This window comes from Homo sapiens, chromosome 7 (genome assembly GCF_000001405.40).
Source record: "Homo sapiens chromosome 7, GRCh38.p14 Primary Assembly".
In the NCBI taxonomy this organism is placed as follows: Eukaryota; Metazoa; Chordata; class Mammalia; order Primates; family Hominidae; genus Homo; species Homo sapiens.
The window spans coordinates 51,241,695-51,267,485 of record NC_000007.14 but is presented as its reverse complement, the minus strand read 5'-3'; the positions used below and the strand labels follow the sequence as shown (position 1 = coordinate 51,267,485).

The following is a 25,791-nucleotide window of genomic DNA, read 5'->3' as shown; positions in this document are numbered from 1 at the left end:
ATATAAAAATACAAATAAATGAATGTATGAAAATGGAAGTAGAGGCCTCAAGTCTTTGCGGATGGGGCTGTGCTGTGGAGGTTCTCTTGAGCCCCTGCTCACCAGTGCAGGTGGCTGTGAGTCAGGTCCTGCGCTGGTTTTGTTCTGGCTCATCTGTGTGCCTCAGAAGGCCTGACACTCCTCAGGCCAGAGTGCCTGCCTGAACAGAGGAAAATCTTTCATAAAGTTTTTTACAGCAGGGGTTTGGGAAAGGGTACCAGGTTTGGCATTGTTAAAAATGTAGAAATAACAAGGGTTTCAGATTTTTATTTACTGAAAAATCAAAGTAAATGAGATACTTATTTTTGTTCAAGGTTTTCTTCCAACATGGGCCTTTGTGTGGCCTCTGTATTTATGCGGTGGGAGAGTGGTGGTGAGCGGAGATTTCTAAAAATTGAGAGGGTATCTTTGATACCTTTTGGGTTTATCGCAAAGCCCTGTGGAAATCCTGACCATGATACAATGTTATATGCTTTTTATTTGTAATCGTATGTTATTAAGAAGCAGAGGGCATTGATGTCGAAATGTAAGTTAATAGGGAATATAAAAATGGGACTCATTTTGCAAATTTGCCTTGGGACTCCTCCCAAGGGCAACTCCTCCCAACCCTGAATTGGGTTATCTCAATAAAAATGTTAGGTTTCTTGGTCTAGGTGTCCATAGCACTCAAAAAACATGTGGAAAAAAACTGTGTGTGGGTGCTTGTGTCGTAGAGTCCTTTCCTTCCGTCCATTTGTGGGAAACAGGGACAGCCCTTGCATATGCCATGTTATTTGTGTAGAAGTACTTGCAAGCAGCAGCCAGAAAAGCCGTTTCTCACTTTGTCATTTAAAATAAGAATCAGTTGATCTTTTTTTTGTTTTGTTTTGAGATGGAGTCTCGCTCTTGTTGCCCAGGCTGGAGTGCAATGGTGCGATCTTGGCTCACCGCAACCTCTGCCTCCCGGGTTCAAGGGATTCTCCTGCCTCAGCCTCTTGAATAGCTGGGATTACAGGAATGCGCCACCATGCCCAGCTAATTTTGTATTTTTAGTAGAGATGGGGTTTCTCCATGTTGGTCAGGATGGTCTCAAACTCCCGACCTCAGGTGATCCACCTGCCTCGGCCTCCCAGAATGCTGGGATTATAGGCTTGAGCCACTGCACCTGGCAATCAGTTGCTCTTTAAAGCAAAACTAAAAAGTCAGAAATTAAGTTAATGACAGCAGCTTTTGCCTATAATACAATTAGTTTTCAATCTATATTTTACCATGTATTTAGTGTCCATACAGAAGATGAGATAATTTATTGTTTTGTAATTAATTTGCCCACATGTGATTGTTTCTTACAAAATTAAAATGTTTTAGCAGCATGTGTCACTAATTACTTAAAACATCAGAATTTGCCTTTCTGTGTAATGAATATTATTAAATATTATGTTAATCCCAGGGGGCTTTTAAGGTTGTATATTACTGTGAAAGGAATTGTGAATTGAAAAAAAAATGGTAGGGAAACGCCAATTCACTGGATCACATCGATCCACTGGATCACATCTGGCTGTAACTTTCATTATAAATTCAGAGGTGTAATGGAAATCGCATATGACTGTTTCTTGAGAATGTGAGTGGATGTACATTTTATGTGGCAAAACATCTGCCAGTCCACGTGGACAGTTGATCCACATGGACTTTGAGCCTGTCATAGAAGCCTGAGAGCCGGGGCAGGGAGGGAGGGTTGCAGAGGAACAGGCACAGGCTGCCCTGGCAGGGACAGGTGTCCGGAGAAGCCAGCCCACCTACCTGCCCCTTCTTCCCCTCTGGGCACCTCAGGTATCACATCATCCAGGGCTTTCTCCTGGTTGGGGTTCTGTGGGTGGCCCTGGCTGAGGGGCATGCTCTCCTTTTCACTGTCCTCTGTGCACATGTGCTTTGGGTCTTTGAACTGAGATAAGTTCTATTCCTAGGGCTGCAAACACCCTGCCTCACCTCGACCTGTGACCTTGCTAGAGCAGAGGTGCAGCCTGTCCCCATCCAGCCTGGGGAGCCTTCTGCCCTAAGCCTGGTGGCGGTTTGCCTGGTGGGTGTGGCTGGGCGTGCTGGGGTCAGTGGATGGGGAACAGCCCCTGCTCTGGGTTTCTCTGGAACCCAGTTCTTCTGGTTCTCCCCTCTCCACAGCTATTTAACTCCCAACCCCCACCTGCTTTCCCAGGTCTTTAAAAGCAGGTGTGGATGCAGATGTGGCACTACCCTTGTAAAGCAGCAGTGAGGCTGAAACAGATGAGCACGCGGTTGTTAAAGGACTGGGAACACACACAGAAAGGTGTCAGAAATGCCCTGAGGTTCTGCTGTGTAGACTTTCTTGAGTGGGGCATCAGAAGTGCTGCCGCTGGTTGTCGGGCATCGGGCTGCTGTTGCATGCCCCTTCAGGAGGCCTTCACATTGGAAACGTGAGCATGAGTGACCTACTGAGGGCCAGAGGCCTCTGGGCATTCTGGGATGAGAAGGAAGCTGCACTTGACATCTAAGTCCTCTTCCATCCCACAGTTTAAAATGGCATACAGTTATGGGATATTTCCTATGGATATGAAATCTGATTTCATATGCACATGTGTATGAGAGAGAACAATGTAATGAACCTTTGGTGTACACTCCAACATGGTATATTTTATTTCATTGTATACCCCACTTGCCCTCTACCTCAGCTGGTGTGTTTTGATGTTATCAATGTGCATTTAAAAGCATTTTGTTCATTTTTCTTCAAGTGTTAGAGGTTGCTTTTTTTTTTTTTTTTTTTTTTTGGGAGATGGAGTTTTGCTCTGTCACCCAGGCTGGAGTGCAGTGGTGTGATCTTGGCTCACTACAACCTCCACCTCCCGGGTTCAAGCGATTCTCCTTCCTCAGCCTCCCGAGTAGCTGGGATTACAGGTGTGCACCACCAAGACCGGCTAATTTTTGTATTTTTAGTAGAGACGGGGTTTTGCCATGTTGACCAGGCTGGTCTCGAACTCCTCACCTCAGGTGATCCACCCGTGTTGACCTCCCAAATTGGTAGGATTACAGGCGTGAGCCACCATGCCTGGCCGGGGGTTGCTTTTTAATTATATTTTGTTTTGCAATTATGTAAAACATCCAACTGTTACGTAGAGGTGTCCTCACTCTCTGTGCCCTGTGTGGCTGCATCCTGGCTTATTCAGCCAGGCCCCTAAAGGAAGAACGTTTGAGCCCCTTCTGCCCTGCCATTGTGAGGAACAGATCCCCAACACATGGGCTTTTGCACCCATCCTTCCTTGCCTGCAGTTTTGATCCAGCAGTTCTGAGGCTTGGGGGCTGCGATTGGAACTCAGAAGGCATCTCATGGGGACCAAGCTCAGATAGACCTGGGCCGGCGTCCTGGCTCTCTTCCTCACTAGTTTTGTTGTCTTTTGACAGCTACATAATCTAGGTTTCAGTTTCATCTTCTATAAAAGTGGAATAACAGCACCTCCCTTGTGAGCTGTCATGAAAACTAGTTGGGACACTAAGAACCTACCACAGTGCCAAACTCATGGTTAGCATTCCATCAACTTTAGTTATCTCCTGTCCTCATTTGAAATGGGGATCATAGTCCTTATGTCAACTGTTTTTGTATAGGAATCATATCAAAATATTTAGTAGTTGCCAAGAAAGTGTTCAGTGACATAAAAATTGTGTCATTATCAGCAGCACAATCCAATAAAACCAGTCTGGCTGGTTCTGTCTCCCAGGCCTTGCTGGGCAGCCCTTGAACTTAACAATCAGACCTGCTGGTGCTGACACCAGTGAGCTGGACAGCCACGCCTGGGAACTCTTCATCCTCCCAGGTACTAAAGCTTCAACTAAAAGCACTCAGGTGTGGGCTCCATAATTCCCCACCAAAGTGGGGACCTCCACCCACTGTGTGAAAAAAAAAAAGAACTTTTTTTTCTGTTTTATTGTCTTGGTTCATAGCTCAGGCCCTTGCCAGCACTTTGCAGGGCTTCTGAAATGCTCTTCTGATTTCCTTCCTCCAGCCTCCTACTTTCCTTATCCACCCCCCATATTGCTGCCAAAAGCAGTTTGTGAAACATATCCCACTGACCATTTATCTTCCTGCTTAAAACAATCCATTTGCTCCCTCCTTCTCACACGTGGGAGTGCATGAGTGTGAGACCTCGTGGGCCCTCCCCAGGCCTCCTGGCCTGTGTGCTCTTGCTCATAGGAGCCTAGGGCTGGAGGGTGTCTCTTGCACCTTTCCCCAGTGCAGTGTAGATGACAGGTGCTGTTCACAGGTAGGACCTGCTCCCAGGGCCACCCTCGGCTTGCGGGTGGCTTCCGGTGAGCTGGGGGGAACTCCCCAACTCCACACACCACCACTTTGTATTAATGAGAATGTGGCTGGCGACACCTCCATGTCTCTTAACACTGCGTCAGGGCCCCACTGATGTCAGTTCCACCTGCCCTGGTGTGGAGACGAGGCTCGTCCGTGCCTCACCTTGCCCAGCTTACCTGCTGGACACTGACTTCTTTTTCCAGATGCAGCCCAGGGCTGCTGCCGGTTCCAGTTCCCAGGCTCCTGGCAAGTTGGGTCTCAATGCCTCTGGGCCCTGCCCTGCCTCCTACCAGGGGTTGCTGGTAGGGCGTGGGCAGTGAGGGAAGGACAGCTTCTTCATTATTGCCCTCTTCATCCTTGTATCCCAGCACTCACTCCACAGCCACTGAGACTGCCCTGGGACCAACCGGCCCCTGGTTCATGCTTTAATACTGGCATGTCTTCACACACATCTGTCATGTAAATCACTTTGATTGTTTGCCCCAGACGTCCATGTGATGGTGACTGCATGGCGAATGTTGCCGCCAGCACCCTGTTGGTTCACAGGCATGGCGACTTGGCGCTGCCTGTCGTGACTTCCCAGTGCATCCTTCCTGTGCGCTCTTACTAGGCTGTCCTAACCGGGCCATTTTCCCTGAGGGTCTCAGACCCAGTCCTGAGTCGCAGGAGTCCTTTCCCATGGCCACCTCGCTGTGGAACTGTTTGTATGGTCCTACTGACTTCCTCTCTTCAGCTTCTGACTCTGACACGGTTTCGTCCGGAAACTTCCTTTTCTGACCTTCCTGGCCAGGGTCTCCCTCCTCACTTTCCTGTCACCTCCTGGGGCTCCTTTGAAGAGTCTGCCCCTCCTCTGTCCCTGCCTGAGACATTGGGGTTCCCAGGTGTGCCCCTGTCTTGCACCTGCACTTCTTCTTCTGCCTTGTGTTCTCGAGGATGTGGCCTCCTGGGGCTGGGCCACTGTCAGACTCCACTTTGGCTCTGTGCCCTGAGCCAGCCAGGGCTGCTGTGCGGTGAGTGCGGTGAGCCTGGCAGGAGCGCTGCCACTGGCCACATTCTTCCTGCACCATCAGCACGGGCCCACCCCTCTCCAGCTCCATCCCAACCCCTCTCCTGGCAGCTTTGGACTTGCCTGCCCAGAGGGTGCCTCACAGAATCTGGAGCTTAGCGTTCCTCAGGCTGCCTTCTTTTTTGTTTTGAGATGGAGTTTCACTCTTGTTGCCCAGGTTGGAGTGCAATGGCGTGATCTTGGCTCACTGCAACCTCCGCCTCCTGGGTTCAAGTGATTCTCCTGCTTCAGCCTCCCTAGTAAGGCAGATGCCACAATTCCCAGCTAATTTTTGTAGAGAGGGGGTTTCACGATGTTGGTCAAGGCTGGTTTCAAACTCCTGACCTCAGGTGATCCGCCTACTTCGGCCTCTCAAAGTGCTGGGACTACAGGCGTGAGCCACCGCGCCTGGCCCCTCGGGCTGCCTTCTTTCAACACCTCCAGGGCCTGTACAACTGGGCTTGGTGCACAGGCCAGCCATCCTCCCTGTCAGGCATCACCTCAGATTCCTCCATTCCCTGGTGCGTCAGCTCTCCACCAAACATGTCATCACACTGCTGTGTTCTTAGCTCAGACGAAATCACCATTGGTGTTTTGTGTTTCGCAGTAGCTTTTGACTCTAGTCTCACCTTCATTCATTCATTGCACAGATATTTACTGTGAGCCTGCTACTCACCAGCATTTTATGCCCTGGGAACACAGCCATGAATATGACAGGTGAGGTCTCCCTGCAACTCTGACACATTATGTTCTAGTGGGGGAGATAGAGAGTAAATAAATAAAGTATAATTTCTGGAAGTGATACTGAGTTGGAAGAGAGTTGCAAGGGCTGCAGTTTTTTTATAGGCGTGTGCCACCACGCCCAGCCAAAGGCTGCCGTTTTGGATGGGCTGTCAGGAGAGCTTCTTTGAGGAGGTTTTGCTGTACATGTACGCCTCTCAGTGAAGAGAGGAGTAAGCCATCTACTGTGTACGGCAGCATGTGCACATCTCCTGCGGTGGGGCTGAGCTTGGCGTGTGTGAGCAGCAGGAAGGCAGGCAGTGTGGCAGGAGTAGTGGGGCTCTGGGGAGAATGGCTGGAGGTGAAGCAGGAGAGATGGGCAATGGAGAAGGGGTATGGAGGTTTATAAAGTTCATGAGATGCCCTCAGAAGGTTTTGGGGAAAGGCAGGATGTGATCTGAGCCTACCCTCCCTATCCCTCCAGAGAAGTCATGGCTAAATGCAAGTGCCCTGTTATTGACCTGCCTGGAGTCCTCTGAGGGTTTCTGCCACCTCTGGGATAAGATCCAGGCTCTGCCGCCTGGTCCCTGCATCCTTTCCATGGCTGCCCTGCTGCACACTGTCAGTCCCCAGCTGCAGCTTACCTGCGATCCCAGTTCTTCACACATCCCACAACCTTTCCCATCTTCTCCTGTAGCGACCCTTCCTTATGCTAGACATGTCCTTATCCCATTCTGCAACACATAGCTCAACCAGTGCCTTGGAATTGTCCCCTCAGGCCACTACCCTCTTTCCTAGAAAGAGCATCTGCTCCACGAGCATTGTATATGAGCCTTTCTCATGGCACAAGCCTTGGTGTCTTGAGTGTTTGTTTATCTGTGTTTCCTACCAGTGATGGACTTGCATCAGGGAGGGATCCTGTTATCCTCATTTGTGGATGTTTAGAATCTATCCCAGATACTGACCCATGGAAGATAAATAGTAAATGTCTTTTGAGTGAATGAAAGAATGAATACAAATCATGTGATCTTTCTCCCTTTTTATTTTCAATGCAAACTTTACATATTATCCTGTTCTATAAATGAGATAGACAAAAGCCACTTCATAATTTATTTTAGGTCTTTAAAAATAGTATATGGTCTTGATAGAGTGAGTGCCATCTTCCCCATGTGGTAGAGTTACGCATGATCAGTAGCTACAACTCTAGAAAGATAATGGAGCAAGAGCAAAGAAAAATCCCTTTGGTTCCAGAAAATCTCCTGAAAAAGAGGAAGGCTTATCAAGTCCTCAAAGCCACCCAGGCAAAGCAGACACTTTTGGAGAAGAAGGAGCAGAGGAAAGGAAAAGGGCTCAAGTTAAACGACTGGAATCATTCCTATATGATTCCTGGTGGCAGAAACGTGACAAGATGCATCTCAGATGACTAGAAGTGAAACCTCATGCCTTGGAATTGCCAGATAACATTCCTTGGCCTTTATTGTACGCATTGAAAGGATTAATGACATGAGTTTACTGGTGCAGAGAACCATGGCAAGACTTCGCCTAAAGAAAATTTTTAGTGGTATCTTTGTAAAAGTCACCCCCCAGAACCTAAAAATGCTGCCCATAGTGGAAACTTATGTGATCTGGGTATTTCCACATCTGAAGTCTGCCTGGGAACTCATTTTGAAATGTGGATGAGCCAAGGTCAAGAATAAGACCATCCCTCAGACAGACAACACAGTGATGAGGAGCACCAGGGGAATTTTGGTGTCATTTGCTTGGAAGACCTCATTCATGAAATTGCCTTCCTGGAGAAGCATTTCCAGGAGATCTCATGGTTTTTGCGCCCTTTCCACTTCTCAGTGGCCCATCTTGCTACCACAAATAGAGTGGGTTTCCTCAAGGAGATGGGCCCCACCTGGCTGTCGGGGTGAACACATCAATCAGCTCATCCACCAGCTGAACTAGACCCAGGTGAGGCAGGGCTGAAAACTGCCCTTGGGCTGACTTTTGATGGGTCATGCCTTGCCACTTAAAAGTGCTTTTTGCAGTTACTAGTATTCCTATTAGTAACCGTGAGATTGGGTTACTCTTTTTTTTTTTTTTTTTTGAGCTGGAGTCTCACTCTGTTCCCCAGCCTGGAGTGCGGTTGTGTGATCTCGGCTCACTGCAACCTCCACCTCCCAGGTTCAAGCGATTCTTCTGCCTCAGCCTCCCGAGTAGCTGGGATTACAGGCAATCGCCACTGCATCTGGCTAATTTTGTATTTTTAGTAGAGACAGGGTTTCACCATGTTGGTCAGGCTGGTCTTGAACTCCTGACCTCAGGTGATCCACCTGCCTGGGCCTCCCAAAGTGCTGGGATTACAGGCATGAGCCACCGCGCTCGGCCGAGATTGGGTTACTATTAAGGGTAACTTTGAGATTGGGATGACAGAGGAGGCTGGTACTAATAGATGGGAGACCTTCTGGGAGCGATGAATGCCTGATTAGGACATTAGGCTATGCATAGCCTAAGAGTTATAAGCTTAAAGATGTTGAGTGACTAAAAACTGTATTGCTGTGGTCATTTAGATGGAAATGGGGAAGGAATAATATTAATAACTGATTTCAAAAAGGACTTAAAGATATGAATCATTTATTTTGCTGAAGAAATCTTAACTCTTTTTGAAATTACTTTTTATTGCTATTTGTTATTACTCTTAAGTGCCACACTGCAGTAAATTTTTTTCAATGCAGTAGAAGCATGTGTTTTTGCTTTTTTGGGGAATTTTTATCAAGTATGTTCAAAGAAGATTATTTCCTGCTTTATCTTCAAAAGCTGGAAAGGAAGGGTCAAAGAAAAGACAGTAGGTTATGTTCATGGCAAGCACCTCTCATCACAGTCCAATTCCAAGGAAAAATTTCAGTGTTTTCTACATTGGCTGCCGCCTCGTCTGAAATCAGTACATTCCATGGAGGAAGGAGTCCTGCTTTGTTGTGTCATCTGTCCTAGGGTTTAATGTCGGTAAATGAGTAACTCTACCATTTGTCCAAGGGTCCCTAAGACTCCTGCAGTGATCAACCAAGCCCAGGGACATAATTGAATCTGGAGATTCCTGGGGCTTTGTTTTGAAAAAGACTTGAAATATACATAGGAAGAATGGCACAAAAATAAATGTTCACTTGTCTCTTCAAAAAAAAAAGTATATGGTTTTAACCATTCATTGAAGAGTTATACACTTTTAAATAATAGCTTGTTCTTTTAATTTATTTAGGGTAGTCAGTTATAACTGTCTTCACTAATTAAGTGTTGCTTCTAGTTATAAAAAAGTATATTTTGAAAAGAGCTACCTTATTTCTAGGAAAGTAATTTAAAAATTAGCAAACAAGTACACTATATTACAGGTAAATAAATAATACATTTTCCTTGTTACAACGAATACACTGTGTCTTAAAGCTTAGCTTTAAAGTTTAATTTCATTAATCAAAACATTTCCTCATTGATTATCAATACCTGCTTGCAGGTCTTATAGGAATAGACAGGGAAGATTTCATCAAAATCTGAGTGAACTTTTAGTGCTTTTGTTAATCTATCTGTTTTTTTAAAGATCAGATTATTTTACTAAATATTAAAATGGCTCTAGTGTACAAATTCTTTCATATTTGGTGTGATTAATGCCAAATATTAGCAATATTTTTAGAAAACAGAATTTTAACTGAAATATATTTTATGTATACATCTTATAAAATTATGTATATTTATATATAGGTTTATCTATAAATATACATAATCCCAGAATAAGTAACTTGGTCTCAAATGAAAGCATATTCAATCTAAACATTGAAGTGTATAAGCCTACTTTCTTATGCAGAATGAACCTTTGCATATTGCTTGACGGTATTCTGGATATACCAAATTAATTCCATGATTTATAAAATCGTGGTGGTGCTTGATACAGTTCAGTGTATGTGTCCACTGTGTTCTATTCCTCTACTTTCTTTAGATATGCTATCGTTTATCCTCAGTCAAGCCAAACCAGAAGAATGGCATATTCGACTGCATTGTTTGGTCTCTGTATTTAATGACTTCTACTGAGTGGAGTCTTGGTGTGATGTAGGTTTTATTGAGGGGAGAAGCAACTGTTGGAAAACCATCTTTGTATTTTTGTTTTTTGGCACGTTGTTGGGGACGTAATTCACTATTGCACACCATGTCTCCAGCATGAGGGCTGCAGGGCACTGGTTCTCTGGATCTGTCTTCTTTTATCTTGAGACATGGGAGCTTTGAATCTGGCTTTGCATCTCATCTTTGCCATGACCGCTAGGAAGCTCAGAGCCTCATCTTGCTACTCTGGAATGCAGGCTATGCAACAATATATGTGACACTTCCACTGGACTGGTTTAGTTTCTGCTCTTCTGGGCTTCCTCATTCCCTGTTCAAGTCTCGTGTATATTTTATATAATATAATAAATGAGTAAGGAAAATTAGTAAAGGAATCCTTAGCTCTGCTCTGGTGCTATATGTAAAATTCCATGTCTAAGAAGAGTGGAATTACTCACTTTAAGCAGTAAATCCGGGAAGCAGCTGTCAGACAGGAAATATTTTTGAGTAAAACAATATAGTGAGGTAATAAAACTTCTCATTAGAGCACCTATCATCATTTAGCCAGTTGGTGACCTTCATCAAGTCTCACAGCTTCTCTGGGCTTTCATTTCCTCACTGGTGGTGGTAGTAACACTTGCCCTGCCTCTGCCTGGGATCTGTGAAACCACGTGACGCTTGCAGGAGTGCTCTGGAGGCCCTACTAGGGCGATTGAGTGGATGTGGATCCGGGTAGTGGTGCTGCCCCAGGGCATCTTCCACGGTGTTTTTCCATGAGATCCGAACTCCTGAGTGAAAGCCCAGGCCCACGTGGGTGTGGTCATTGCCTCTTCGTTGTGTTCTGAAATTGGACACAGCCTGTGAGTTATTGTGTGCACTGAAAGCCCCAGCAGTGGGCCCTCCTGACACACAAAGACTTGCTTGTGGCCCTGGGAGTCAGCTTTCCAAAGAGCCTGAGAGTGGAATGGTGGGACCCGGGCTCCTGCAGGGAATTTCATGGCCTGACCTTTTGTGCCTCGGCTCCAGCCCTTTATTTAGTGTGCTACAGTATATATAGATTGAGAATGCTAATTTGTTCTTTGCCAGCTAAAGTACCCAGGGCAATATGATGAGGAGTCAATTTAAAGGACTGCTGTCTTGGGTGGGCCGCCTGGAAACACTCCTGCCTTTGTGCTTGTGCTTGATAGTGCAGCTGCTACGACAGTGTGACATGGAATTCAGGGTCTCAGCTGAGCCACACGGCATTCCAGAACACATTTCAGAAATCCTTTAAGCATGGGTGTGTTAGAACAAGGAGTAAAAATAGAGACCAAGCTTTTGGTGGAGAGAAGGCTAGGTGCTGGCCCGGGTCCCCAGGCCTCTGGTTGTGAGATCTGGCCTTGCCCTCAGGAGCTGGGCTTCTCAAACTCTGCACAATCTAAGGGACAAAGCAGGGGCTGGGCTGGAGTCTCATCGGTCAGCTGAGTGGCCGCATCAGGTGGGGCAACATTCAGGGCCTGCATTGCTCCTGCATCGGCACACCACCTTGATGTGAGGTCATCGGAACCTCCTGAGGTGACACCACTGAGTGCCTGGCTCACTGCAGCCCCGTGATTCATTGTGAGTCTCTGCTCTCTACCCTAAGCCCTGTGGAGCCCTTGTTTTTGCCAGGAGGAAGTGATCTCGGCAGAGAACTTTCCTAGTCGTGCCACTGGTCATTGCTAGAGTATGCTCAGTCCCCTTCTTTGTTCTCTTCCATGGGTGAACCCAGGCCTGGCCAAACTTCTGAGCATGTTCCTCCAGACCCTCAAATATGCAGACCCTCCCTCATGGGATGAACACGATGCGGGAATGAAAGACAACTGGTCTCACTGCAAGTGAAGGAGGCCCTGGAGGATACTGTTCCACATTGTTTCTCTAGTTTGGTCCCTAATAATTTTATAAAGAGGAGATATAGGAAGGGCTGCATTGTGGTTGTTGATGAGTTTCCCAGAGAATGAATCTTAAGAGTCACACAATGGGTTGGATGTTACTGTCTCTGACAGTAACACTGATGACACTGCCCAGCAGTGCCTCGGGCAGCAGTTCCTCATTTTATCTTTGTAACAGCTGAAGGAGGTCGCTAGGATTATTCTTCTCTTAATTGCATCATGTATTTTAAATGTTTGTTTATACGCAAGGGAAGCTTGCATATTCTACAAAGCAGGGTCAGAAATAGTGTAAAATATTCAGATTGATTCAGGCTTCACATGGATCCTGTGATTTAGTGTTTAGTGTGACTTAGCTTTCAGAAATATATGTTTGGGTAGCAGCTTGAACTATCCACAACGTACTTTTTAATTGAGTGGGGAGGGATACATAGAGATTGAATCATGGTATAAGATGTAACTTTTTAAGTATTGTTAGAGCTTTTAAATAGTAATCAGCAACTGAGAAACCAGTACATCAACCACATTTATTCAGCCCTTTGATAAGGTCTGAGGAAGATCACGAGAAAATGTAACACAAATTGAAATCAGCTGCCCAAGGGTTGATGTTTTTCACCTTATGCAGTCCCCTTCATGAGGTCAGATGGTGGCTGTGGAGCTTATGAAAAAGCTGGTGTTCATAGACATCAGTGCATCTTGGCTGCTGGACTCATAAGAACTCAGTAGGCCACTTTCTAGAGAATTCTAGGTAGTCAACCATTCTAGAATCTGATTGAGAAGAGTGGTGGAGAGGATTGGGGGTCCACCTGTACCTCAAAGAGGATGGAAAAATGGGGGATGGAAAGAGAGGGAAGGAAGACAGATAACAAGGGTATATGTGCACATTACCAGGATGTTGTTTGAATGTTGGCCAATTTGTTTTGGTTTGGTTTAGTTCAGTTTTAGATTTGATGTTGAAAGTAGTTTTTGTCTATTTGTTGCAAGTGAATAGTGTGTTTTCCCTTATATACAAGTCTATATGTAGGACTCAGTTTAGCACAAATAATACTTCTGTACCAGAAGGACTACAGTATAATCATCGGAGGTCATACGCCTCTCATCCTTCCATTTTCTTCTAAAACAGTTGGTCACAGTCTTGCCTCATCTATGAAGGTCACTTTACATCAGCCATAAAAGTGAAAGGGAAAAATCATTATGAGCTGACATGGAGTGATTTGCAGTAATCATTGTCAATGAAGAGGGGACATGGAAATTGTTTATGGTATATATCTTTGTGCAAGAAAGAAGAGAAAATAAGAATAAACACATATTTGCTTTCTTTTGACAAAAAAAAAACAACTCAAAAAGGAAGAATGAGGATGTGTGGGAATGAGGTATCCAACATAAAAATAGGAATTAGATTTCTTTGAATATGGCTTGCTTATATAATTTTGATTTTGAACTACACAAGTTTTTATATATTCAGAAAACAGAATAGCATCAAAATTGAAAAAGGAAATTTTAAAGTTGAAAAACAGAAACAAAGGAATCTAACTGTCTAAAGTTGATAACACAACTGCCCAGAATAAAGACTTAATTCTGATAATTTTGAACAGTTTTCTGACCATATATCTTTATTGGAACATATTTTAAGAACAAAAGAAATGGCAAATAACTGTTGAGATTTATCTGGTACAATTATAGTTGGTAATGGTGTTGTGTTGTAATTCTTAAATTATTTTGTAGGTATTGTAGGTGGTACAAAAAATAAAATACAATGATGTTATTGGGAATGGAAGTTCTAACTGTGGAAGAAGGGCTACAAGCAGTGTGAATTCTCTCACTCTCCTTTTCACTCTCTCTATAATTAGAAATACAAAATAAATAGCAATGATACCTTTCCAATAGTTACATTAACTACAGTTTCCCACATGGATCCTTGGAGAAATGGCTGATTACAGATCTTGACAAGGTTGTGCCTGGGGTATCTTGTGCTAGAAAGCAAGAAGGTGTTCAAAGGCCTGTGGAGTACATCAAAACAAACCCAGGAGTAGGCTTGCAGGGCCTCCTGCTGGCAAGAGTAATCGTATTAATAGATTGTAATATATTAAAAGATTCAGGAGTCTGAAGTGTTACTCAAATAGAGAGAATGTCACCTTAATAAATTCAGAAGAAATAATGCATTTTATTTATTTATTTATTATTTTTTTGAGACGGAGTCTGTTGCCCAGACTGGAGTGCAGTGGCCCCATCTCGGCTTACTGCAACCTCCGCCTCCTGGGTTCAAGCAGTTGTCCTGCCTCAGCCTCTTGAGTAGCTGGGATCACAGGTGCCCGCCACCATGACTGGGTAATTTTTGTATTTTTTAGTAGAGACGGGGTTTTGTCATGTTGAGCAGTCTGGTCTCGAACTCCTGACCTCAGGTGATCTGCCCGCCTCGGCCTCCCAAGGTGCTGCGATTACAGGCGTGAACCACTGTGCCTGGCTAAAATTATGCATTTTAAAAATCATCATTTTGCAACCTTGACCTGGGCAAGAATCATGTTTGAGTGCTAAAATCACCGGGTGAAAGATTGTTGGAGAATGAGATATTTATGCGTTCTCAAATATTATCTCACAGATTACTACTTATAAAAGAGAAAAAAACCATTACATTGGAATAATCTAGAGGCCAGCCTCTTAACCTACTGCTTAAATTGAACCCCTCCTGCTGGGGACAACCTGATACTATGTGCCAATATTATACCCTTGTATAATGCTAGGAGAAATCACCTGTACTCCTCTGTAGTGTTCTTGCCCCAAAAAGCTTTTAATCTGAATTATGAAGAAACAGTTGAACAAATTGAGAGTCTTTTTCAAAACAGCTGCAGTGAAGTCTCCTCAGAGAACTCAGAACCTTCAAAACATTAGGCTAAGTGAAAGAAGCCAGTCACAGAGCATGCGTATTGTATGATTTCACTTATGTGAAATGTCCAGAACAGGCAAATCCATAGAGATGCAAAGTATTAATACTGGATCAGTGGTTGTCTAGGGCTGGGGAGATTGGAAGAAAAAAAGGGGGTGACTGCTGATGCTAATGGGTTTGGGATTTCCTTTGGGGATGATAAAAAGAGTCTAAAATTGTGGTGATGGTCCCGCAACTCAGTGAATATATGAAAAACATGTACAATATATTGAATTGTACAATGTAAATGGGCAAATTATATGGTGTGTGAATTATATCTCAATAAGCCTGTTTTTAAAAAGCCAGTGTCATGAAAACAAAACAAAAGCACAGGGGAGAGTGTTCTAAAGAGATCTAATAATGAAATGCAGTGCACGAACCTTGATTGTATCCTGGATTGAAAAAAAAAGCTGTAAAAGAGCACATAAGGACATCGAGGAAGTTTGTGTTTGAATTATATGTAGGATCCTATTTTCTTAGCTGTGATAAAGGTATTGAGCTTATGTAGAGACTGCTCTTACTCTTAGGAGACATGTGCTAAAGGACTTTAGAGTGCAGAACTGTTTTTTCAGCAACTTTCAAATAATTCAGAAAGCAAAAATGGTTGTGTGTGTGTGTGTGTATACACATGCAAGTATGCATAGAAAGGGAAAATGGATCATGGAGTAGTTTGAGGGTAGTTCATTGTACCAATCTTTCAACATTTTTTTAGGCTTGAAAATTTCAGTTGCTTCTCATCACTGTGTGTTCAATCTGACAGATATTGGTTGAGTGTACACCGTATGTCTGGTACTGTGATCTGGGCATGCAGTGGGGACAGTAAACATTGATGTCCATGCCAGGCAATAATCTCTGAAGGATAGAGAATGCAATATAACTTAGAGATATGATCCCTGCCTTCAAGGATCTTGATATGGATCTAAATCTTGATAACTAGTGCTAGAAATAAATTCTAAGCAAATCTAAACTTTTGTAAGCTAGGAGCAGCTTTGTATGAGTCATTCGGCAGAGGTCATTTGAGAATGATCACACATGGGTGGTTTAAGTTGTCACACCTTTGTATAGCTGGCAGCGTCCTGAAACGACAGCACAGAATCCTCTCTCACCAACAAGTTCCCTGTAACACAAAGTTGTTAACATTCAGCCTTCACCCCTGGAATATTATGAGCTAATATCGTGTTGGATATATTTTGTTCTTTGAGCTCCTAGAGTTAATAGCTATGTAGTTTACAGGAAGCAAAATACCTGGCATGTCATATACATTCTCTTGGTGTCCTTTTCTTAGTATATTTTACGTGTTCTAATTTGCAGGTTCGACCCCGGTCCTCTGCCACTCAGGTGACCTTTAACAGTTGCTGCTCGAGATGTTACTATTTAAAATTTAGAATGTATACTGTTATCTATTATTAGAATATGATTATCATTAAGTAGATTTAATAGCACTGTAAAAATCATCACAAATAGGTCAATTATTTTCAATAGTAATTTAAAGCAGGGAACCATAAAATATAACAAGTAATACCTTAGTTATTTTAATGAAAACTTAGAGGTATGTTTATTGGCCAATTCTTTGATGTGGCTGAGGCCCCTCTTTTGCGTGTGGGCAGAGCTGCTGTATCAGTCTTTTGGGCCTTCCAGCATAAGGGTTCCCAGTCAAGGGAGCAAGAGGGACTGAAATCCAGCCCATTGTCACTCAGCAAGCTGTGCATCCATAGCTTTGTGTGTGAAGGACTGCCACCTTTTTCCAGCTTACATAATACCTTAGTTATTTTATTTATGATGGCTTAGCCATATGGGTCCAATGTTTAAGGTTCAAGGACAACTTCGTAAACCATTTTAGTAATATATGAACTAGAAATTTCAGTTTGTTTTTTAAAAGTACCTGGACAATAAAAGATACTTGCACACAAATTTGAGAAGTAAATGCCTCTGTATTTTTATAATTCCTCCCACTCTGTCATTTTCAGTTTTCTTGCCCACACTCAATTAAATAATATTTTTTAAAAATAAAGATAGCCTTTATAAAATTTGTCCACAGCATTTTACAAAGTTTTCTTGGAACCATCAACTATTTTTATTTTCAAACTTTAATTTCATCAGTTTACATAATATTTAATTACATTTTATAATTATAATAGCATAGGCAACTGGCAGTAATAAATTGGTGAGCAAGACTTCTATGCTTTGGGAATTGTAAAGGCCACCTTGTAGGATGAGTTCTCTGAGTGTGTACCAGTCACTTTCTGGCTGCAAGGCTGTTTGGTGCGGGGTGGACACAGGCCCATCAGAAAGAGGGCAGAGCTGTGATTACCAGGCTGGCCAGCTGGTGGAGGTTTGTCAAGGGAGTGTCTACTCTGTATTTTCTTTCTTCTTTTTTTTTTTGAAATGGAGTCTCACTGTGTTGCCCAGGCTGGAGTGCAGTGGTGCGATCTTGGCTTACTGTAACCTCCACCTCCCGGGTTCTAGTAATTCTCCTGCCTCAGCCTCCTGAGTAGCTGGGATTACAAGCAAGCGCCACCACACCTGGCTAATTTTTGTATTTTTAGTAGAGACAGGGTTTCCCCACATTGGCCAGGCTGGTCTCGAACTCCTGGCCTCAAATGATCTGCCCGCCTCAACCTCTCAAAGTGCTGGGATTACAGGTGTTTGAAAAATGTTCTTCTTCAAGCCAGTTCCTGGTTCAGTTTTCACAGCCAGCTCTGCAGAGGGTTTGAATGTGAGCCTCTGTGCCCAGTTTAGGTCTGGTGGCTCCTGGCAGCATTGTCTGGTAATCCAGTTGTTATTCTGATCAACAGAAGAATTGTAGGGTGGTGAAAGTGGAAAAATAAAGCTTTTATTGAGGAGCAAAAGTAAAAGGAAGGTGTCAAATCAGAACAAAGGTGATTACGAAGAAATGTGGGTATTCTCTGCTTGGAGAAGAGAAGTTACAAAATTTATTATGTTAATAAAAATGTAATTAGAAGGAGTGACATTGGAATCTTTCCTTGTCTAATCTATCTTTGAAGGATTTAGGAAGACATGTCCATTTCTGGATTCCATGCTCTGCCCTCATCTCAGACATGACTCATCCTGTGAGAATGGTTTCACGCTCACCTTTCCAGGCATATGTCCTGTGGGAAGGATGATGAGAGATTTCCAGGAATGTTTCATGCTTAGGGTTAAGCAATAGATTTTCTGTGTCTGTTTGTTGTGTTCACCTCATTGCCTTCCCTTTCAAGGATTCTGTTTTGGGGTTGCACGTCCTCATGTCACCTAATGGATAGTTCCCTGGATGGGGGCCCCCTCACTCACCACAGGTCACAGATAGCCTTGCCTTGAACACCATTCATCTGGATCTGATACACAGGAGTTCTGAGAGACAAGAGATTCACAAATGGGTTCAAAAGTTCCATCATTTAAACATATTTAATAGGTATATATGCAGACTTGGATAAATAAATTATACTATGTCTGTTTTAGAAAAAGATATGTTCAGAATGGGTCTTAACCTGGTTTATCTCAGTATCTTTTCCAAATCTTAATTACATAATGGGCTTAGAAAAAGTAAATTTTTGTTCAGACGATAAAGATTGTAAAGTTATCCCTGAATAAATTTGTATCTGAGGTACTTTTGTAGCTTTGGGGATGACTGAATAATTTTCTCCTTAAAAATTTAATCACTAGGCAACATTGTTGTGCCTATGCCCATTATTCTGTCTGAGGCATCTTTCATTTTTATTTTTTAAAATTTTGTTGTTAAAATATATTTCCTAGTTCTTTTAAATTAAAATGATTTGTATTTAGATATTTACAAAGACTGGGTAGATTGAGGAGTGTTAAAACTGATATAAACCAAAGACATTTTGTGCCATTAGAAAATAATCTCCAAAGAATCATTTGTGTCCTATTTGTAAAATGGGGAGTAATTTACCACTTGTGTAATTTACATGCACTCAAAATACACATTTTTAGACCCCTATCCTCCGTCTTGTACCATCCAACTGAATGTGAGGTTGAATAACAAGAACCAATGGATCGTCTGACAGTTTTTTTTAGGGGGCTGGCTGTGGTTCCTGGGGTCTTCTGAAGTGTCTTGCTGGTGTCTCCTTGAGGAACTGCAAAGCCCATGGTCGGGACATTTTGCTGTTCTTCTCTTCCCTTCCAATTAAGTGTAGTCTTCCCCATAAAATCGTATCTCTTATTTCATATTCTAAATCAACGAGATAGAGCAATATTATTTTATATGTAAGTTTTATGATATGAATCGTTTCATAACCACGGATGCACAGTAGGAGGAAAATTCTTTATATTAAACTCTTATCTTTTGTGCCTCAAAGTGGTAGACTCTGTGTTACAATTCTGTGTGCAAAGCCTGTTTTGCTCTGTCGCCTGGGCTTGAGTGTAGTGGCGTGATCTCGGCTCACTGCAGCCTCCCCCTCCCTGACTCAGACAATTCTCCCACCTCAGCCTCCCGAGTAGGTGGGATTATAGGCGTGCACCACCATGCCCAGCTAACTTTTGTATGTTTAGTAGAGACGGGGGTTTCACCATGTTGGCCAGGCTGGTCTTGAACTCCTGACCTCAAGTGATCCACCACCTCAGCCTCCCAAAGTGCAGGGATTACAGTGCTGGAATTACAGACATGAGCCATTGCGCCTGGCCTTGTGTTTGTTGTTTATTTATTTTTAACTTAAGTAGAATAACCCTTTGGCGTCTTCTTTCAGCAGTAACTCAGCTGATTGGTCTGCCTTAGGATAATTTCAATAGGGTCGAATATGGCAAGAACCAGCCTGGCCACTGTTTGCTGGAGTGATGCAGACCTTCTAAAGATCACTTTGAATAGGTGGAGGAGAAAGACTCCCCACCCCCTGCCATGAATGCCTTTATGTTATGGGAGATGGGAGCAAGCTTCAGCCATGAGATGCTTCCATAGTCACCTTGTCCCTACCTGTCCAGTGTCCACCTTTGTATACTTTCTTCAAAAGAAAAATAAAGCCACCATCTCCCCAATTCATCCAACCAGTTGTCTTGAAGTGTAAGATTTTAAAAATTCCTATTTCGTTTCCAATTTTCAACACTTCCAGGGAATCTGTTATTTATACCTTGCTAGCAGGAACCTCAGGAGATCCTGTCCAAAAGACTGGTTCTGATAGTTGAGAGGGAACAGAGAACATGATTCCACTGGCTGTGGGTAACATGAAGAGACAGCACCACTGAGAAAGCAGAGTGGCCCCGAAAGAAGAGAGACTCCAAGCTCATGGTGTTTGTTAGGGCCAATCCCAATTGGGAGTCATTTGGGAGAGTCTTCTCCATGGATGGCCTCTGGCCTTTAAGGTGCAAGCCTGTGACTTAACGTGGCAGATGGGAGGTAGAAAGGAGCTGAGGCTTCTGCCTTGGGCATGGAAGGGTGCACGGTCACCACAAGATTCCGCGATGACCACAGGTATCCGCTGGTTTTGTGAGGCACTGAGTCCTGCAGGCCCGCACTGCTTGGTGTTTGCAGGGAGGCTGCATCTGTGTTGGCTATGGTGACTTACTGGGGCGTGCTGGGCTCTAATGTTTAGGACTTGGTGGGGACAGGGGTCCACCCTAGGCTATTTTGGGAACACACTCTGATTTTTCTTTGAATCGTTCAATGTAGTCATTTATTGTTCATGTAGTTTAAAAATAATTAAAAATGTAAATGAGTCATCTGCACAAAAAAAGCCCATTTGTTCTTGCCAAACTCTGGAAGAAGTCTGCAAGTATGACAATCTGTGTAACTGATAGAATCTACAAATCAAGGACATCATGGAATTGCAACCACAATAACTCTTTCTTCATAAACATTATAATGCTTCATTAATCAGCGTTTCTGCATTTTATTTGAATGAGATAGAAGTTATATGGCCCAGATCTAATAGCATGGCCTGTGCTACACTGTACGGTGTGCAGGCAGGATTCTCTCTCCACCTCACGGGGGCTGACAGCCAGACCAGCAGGGATGTTGGGGCTGGGACAAGGTCAGGGCTGGGCTGTGTGCCAGGGGAGAATTTTCTCCTGGAGCTTTGGGGAGTGAGCCATGATTGGAAGTGGGATGAGAGGATGGGCAGGAGGCCCAGGGGAGGGGAATTGCTTGGTGCATGTGTCCTGCTGACAACAAACAGCATTTACTATGGGCTTCTGAGCTGTCAGGGACAGAGGAGGCGGCCCCTGCTGATGGAGATGGAGCTCCTGCTTGGATAGACTTGCTGCAGGCCATTTGTCTCCCTGGTCCAAATTATACAAGAAAATGCCATCTTCTTCATAGAGTCTTTTGTCTTTTTATTTCAAGTAGGAAACTTACATACTTGCTTTTCTGCATTAAGGCTAGGATATTTATTTTTTTAGTTTTAAATTCATGGAGTGATAAAAAGAAGTGTGAAATATTTTCTAAATGCTACTAGATATTTTTAGGCCTTTCTACTTAAAAATAAATGACACATACATACCACATGGTATAATTCATAGATATCTTCTTTGCATTTGCAGAGATCTTTGCCATAATGAAAACTAAGTCTTTGGATAATATATTATTTTTGCTAAAATCATTTCCTCACAAAATTTCAAGTTACTCTGCAGGCAGGATTTGTCCCTTACCTAACTTTGTTTTGCATAATTTGATAATGTCAATAAGAAAACTTTAAAAGTGCCCCAATGTTTGAATAGTGCCATATGGTTTGCGAGGTGCCTTTTGCTTATTTCACATCACTTAATCCCAGCCTTGCTTTTAGCTAAACAGTTGTGTCTATCTTATTGCCCCTCTAGAACCTTTCTGAGATCTGAGACCATACACTGTACTATCATTTATGTTATAGACTCCCTAGGAATTACCTTGTAAATGGTAGGTCCTGATACATGTTTGTAGAATGAATGAAACTGTATTTCTAATTTTATATATTTTTATATATCATTTCTTCTATGGATGTAATTCATTCATTGGACAGATACCTGTTGAGCTCACACTTCAGCAAGCTGCTGTTAGCTAGTCTGGTGGTTGAGACAGAATTGTCCAATCCAAGGGAGGAAGGGAATCAGTACAAATGTTGTAGAGCTGTGGAGAAAGTGTTTAGTACCGCAGAATTGGAATCTTAATTTAGGGTTTGCAGAAAATACTTCTAATTTCAGCAGGAGTGGGTAGGGATGAGGAGAAAGTGAAGATGAAAGAGTATGGGCTGGGTTTTAGAAGGGGCTGGTGTTTTGTTGGACTTTGATGGCAATTCCAGGTAGAAGAACAGCATCCACAAGACTCTGGAGATGTGAAAGCAGGAGTTTCAGGGAGCTGTGGACTTGCAGGAGAAGGGCGTGTGGGAGGCAGGGAAGGTCATCATGGGAAGAGGCAACTGATCAGGTCCGTTAGAGTGTGGAGGAAGCCTGGCTGTAAAGGCGCGGGTTTCGGAAGCTATGAGGAAATTGGGACATTGGGTGTAGGGCTCCTCTTTGGAGGCGTTTCCTCTTTTGAATGGAAGGAGGTGTGGAAAGAGGAAGGAAAGAACAGTCTCAGCTAGCGAGCCAAGACAGGGAGAGACTAAAGATAGGAGAGCAGAGAAAAAAATGGGTGAAGCCTTAGAAGAGATGTGAGCTTAGCCCTTTTCTGGAACTGCGTTCCTTGCAGGAACTCCCTGGGGTCTCTGCAGACAGAGGCGTGGTGAAGGTGGAGCCCAGGACAAGAACATGTTGGGCGAGGTCTTCCGGGACTTGGAATGGCTGCAGCAATGATATAATGGGGCTGAGAGCAATGAGCAGGAACATCTACCTGAGGGCCCTGTTGGGGTCACCGCACGTGACTTTGTGGGGAGGGCCTGTTTCCTCTGGCAGTGTCTTGCAGCCTGGGGGAAAGCTGAGGCACTTAGGGATTGGAACTGGAGCATGCTGTGGGTGAGAGAGAGTGGCCGTAGGAGAGGCTGGGCCCCATGAGACCCTATCGGTTTGGTGTGAAAGGGAGGAAGTACCTCTGTATTGTCAAATGGCAGCATCCACACAACTCTCTCTATCTGTGGCCAGAATATAGAGTTCCCTAATTGAAGGTTTTGGACATGTGAGTGGCTATTACAGCAGCCTGGCAAAGAAGGCCGTGTGATTGAACAAGTCAAGAAACCATGAAGTATTTGAAAAGTCAGTGTTTCTGTTTATGCCTTGGTGGATGACAGCAGGTGTACAGGAAGGAGGACAGCAAATACCCACTACAGTCATGGGGCACCGGGGCATGCTGGTCCAGGCGTCTGTAGAGGACTTAGACATTCTCCTTGGAGTGCGGCCTATTCTTGTGTTTACATTTTGCAGTGGAACATGGTTTGCAGCCTCAGTTCTCATTGGCAGGTTGTGCACTGGGTTTCATCCTGGAGCCTTGAGGGTGGGAGCTGAGCACACATGTGTGTGCAGAAAACTGTGCTGGAGAGGAGGGCGTGGGCAGAGCCATCTTGCAGGGACCAACATGGGGAAAGCATTTTCACATGATGGTTTATCTTTCCTTAGCTGATATATTTTTTAATTTTTAATTTTGAAGATTCACAGGAGGTTAGAAAGCTGGCACAGAGGTCCTGGTACCCTCCCCAGTTTCCCCGTGGTTGTGTCATCTGTAGTATAGGACAATACCAAAACCAAGAAGAGGACACTGGCACGGGTGCCCGCCACGTGCACGTCCTCACACCTGAAGGTCCATGCAGGCCAGACACGGCACCGCTCCTTCACCCCAAGACCTCCCTCTACCCCCTTTCAGGCACAGCCACCTCCTCCTGCCGTCCCCAACTCCGACAATCACTAGTCTGTTTTCCATTGCTATGATTTTTGTCATTTTGAGGATTTTATATCAGTAGGATCATACTGTACGTGACCTTCCAAGACTGCTTTTTTTCACCCAGCGTAACGTTCTTGGGCTCCACCCAGCTTGCTATGTTGCCTCCTTTTTCCTGCTGAGGGCTAGCCCGTGGCACGGGTGCACCAGAGTTTAACTGTTCACCATGATCCCCACATCATGTTTTCATAGATATATACAAGATTATACCTTAGCTCATTTTTAATTGTGTGGTGAGTATATAATTTTAAATTTCCAATAGATCCCGTAGTAGCAGCTGGTATTGAGTGCTTTGCAGTCCCATGAGGGCAGTGACATCACCGTCACCCCTGTGTCACCACTGGAACCGGAGGTACAGAGGGGTGAGGTGACTCGCACATAAGGGGGACAGGAAGTCACACCCCAGCGTCAGCTCCAGTACTTCTGCTCCCCGCACACAGCTGCCTTCACATCAGTGCAGCGAGGCCACAACATCTTTTCAGCTTCATGGAATAGCGTCCAGAATAGCCCCCACCTCAGCACGTTGGCTTGAACGTGTTCTCTTACATCAGTTCATGCCATGTTTTGCCCATCCGTCCTTAGTGGGACCAACGGGACTGGCTCACTCATCCAAGCAGTGCCACCAAGGCGAGTTTAACAAGCGCAGAAAATTGGTCTGGTCCCAGCTCTGTGTCCCTTCATACCTGGTCATCCCCTCCTGGGTGCCTGGTGACTTTGGGCAGCTTCCCAAGGGAGCACCCAGCCCTTCTTCTTTGGGGCCTGGACTTCCCTTGGTAGCGGTTACCCTGGGCTTTCCTCGGTGTCAGGTACCTTGTTGGATGAACCAGCTGTGCGGAGGTGATAATGTTGGCATTCGACAGGGCCTCCCAGAGAGGAAGCACCTGGGCGAGTGGGCCTCTTCTACCCAGGAGTCGGGTTCAGCTCTGTCTCCAGCTCTTCCAGGGCCCAATTCTCAGAACAGAGCAGATGGTGGGTATCTAGCTGTGTTCAAATCCTAAGTTAACATTTTCTGTTTGTGGATCTTATGAACCTGAAGATCATAACATTCAACAGCATCAAGTAGGTGACCTCAGAGATCAGAGTCAATTTATGGGTGAGGAATTGGCGTATAGCAGGGTCGGTGGACAGCTCAGGTTGATGACACTCTGGAACTTTCTGGCACCTTTTTTATACTGTACAACATGGAGCTGAGTCCAGCCAGGACAGCCTGTGATACCAGCAGAGGGTGTCCAGCTTCCTGTGTCTTGAGCAAAGAATTGGACAAAATGCACAAACAAAGCAAGGAAAGAATGAAGCAATGAAAGCAGAGATTTATCAAAAATCAAAGTACATTCCACAGGGTTGGAGTGCACCCGAGCAAGCAGCTCAAGAGCCTGGTTACAGAATTTTCTGGGGTTTAAATACCCTCTGAAGATTTCCCATTGGTTACTTGGTGTACACCCTGTGTAAATGAAGTAGTGGCCCACAGTCAGTCTGATTGGTTGTGGGAGGGGACCAATCAGAGGCTGAAGTGAAGTTATAAAGTTACACCCTATGCAAACTTCTGATTGATTGCAGAAAGTGACCAATCAGAAGCTGAAGTGAAGTTACAAAGTTATACTCTTACGCAAATGAAGACTTGGCCTGAGACCAGACTGGTTGTGAGAGGGGACCAGTCAGAGGTGCTTTCAGTTTTTCATCTGTACGCAGGAAAGGGGAGTAGCCTCTGGTCTTTTTGTTACTTGGGAGTGCAAAGTTGGGGTTTTCCTTTTGATTTAGGTCTAGGAAGTCAGCGTGAATTGGCCTTAGGGTCCCTGTCTCCAGACATTACTCTCCTGCCTCACCTGTGTTATCTTATCCCATGTGAGAGGACTCCTCCCTGAAGGACCCCTAGCACTTCTCTGCAGGATGGACCTTGTGAGCAGCTGAGGAACGAGGATCATGAGTCTGGAAGAGGCTTTGTTACCTTTTTAAAACCATGTGAAGTGAGGAAATACTGACACACAGCAGTGTTTGGCT

General features: G+C 44.3%; 1 protein-coding gene and 1 pseudogene across 22 annotated transcripts in view, besides 2 other annotated features; both read left to right on the top strand.

Moving 5' to 3' along the window:
* Window positions 1-25,791, top strand: part of COBL (cordon-bleu WH2 repeat protein) — a 300,598-nt gene that overhangs the window by 49,324 nt on the left and 225,483 nt on the right. The window lies entirely within an intron of this gene.
* Window positions 3,909-4,724: an enhancer, noted in NCBI's record as "H3K4me1 hESC enhancer chr7:51330459-51331274 (GRCh37/hg19 assembly coordinates)". NCBI's record gives its function as "activates a minimal SCP1, AML or CMV promoter by ChIP-STARR-seq in primed H9 embryonic stem cells {active_cell/tissue: H9 hESC(primed)}" and the evidence as "EXISTENCE:reporter gene assay evidence [ECO:0000049][PMID:30033119]".
* On the top strand, window positions 7,242-8,066 carry RPL7L1P2 (RPL7L1 pseudogene 2; annotated as a pseudogene).
* Window positions 23,168-23,668: an enhancer, noted in NCBI's record as "H3K4me1 hESC enhancer chr7:51311515-51312015 (GRCh37/hg19 assembly coordinates)". NCBI's record gives its function as "activates a minimal SCP1, AML or CMV promoter by ChIP-STARR-seq in primed H9 embryonic stem cells {active_cell/tissue: H9 hESC(primed)}" and the evidence as "EXISTENCE:reporter gene assay evidence [ECO:0000049][PMID:30033119]".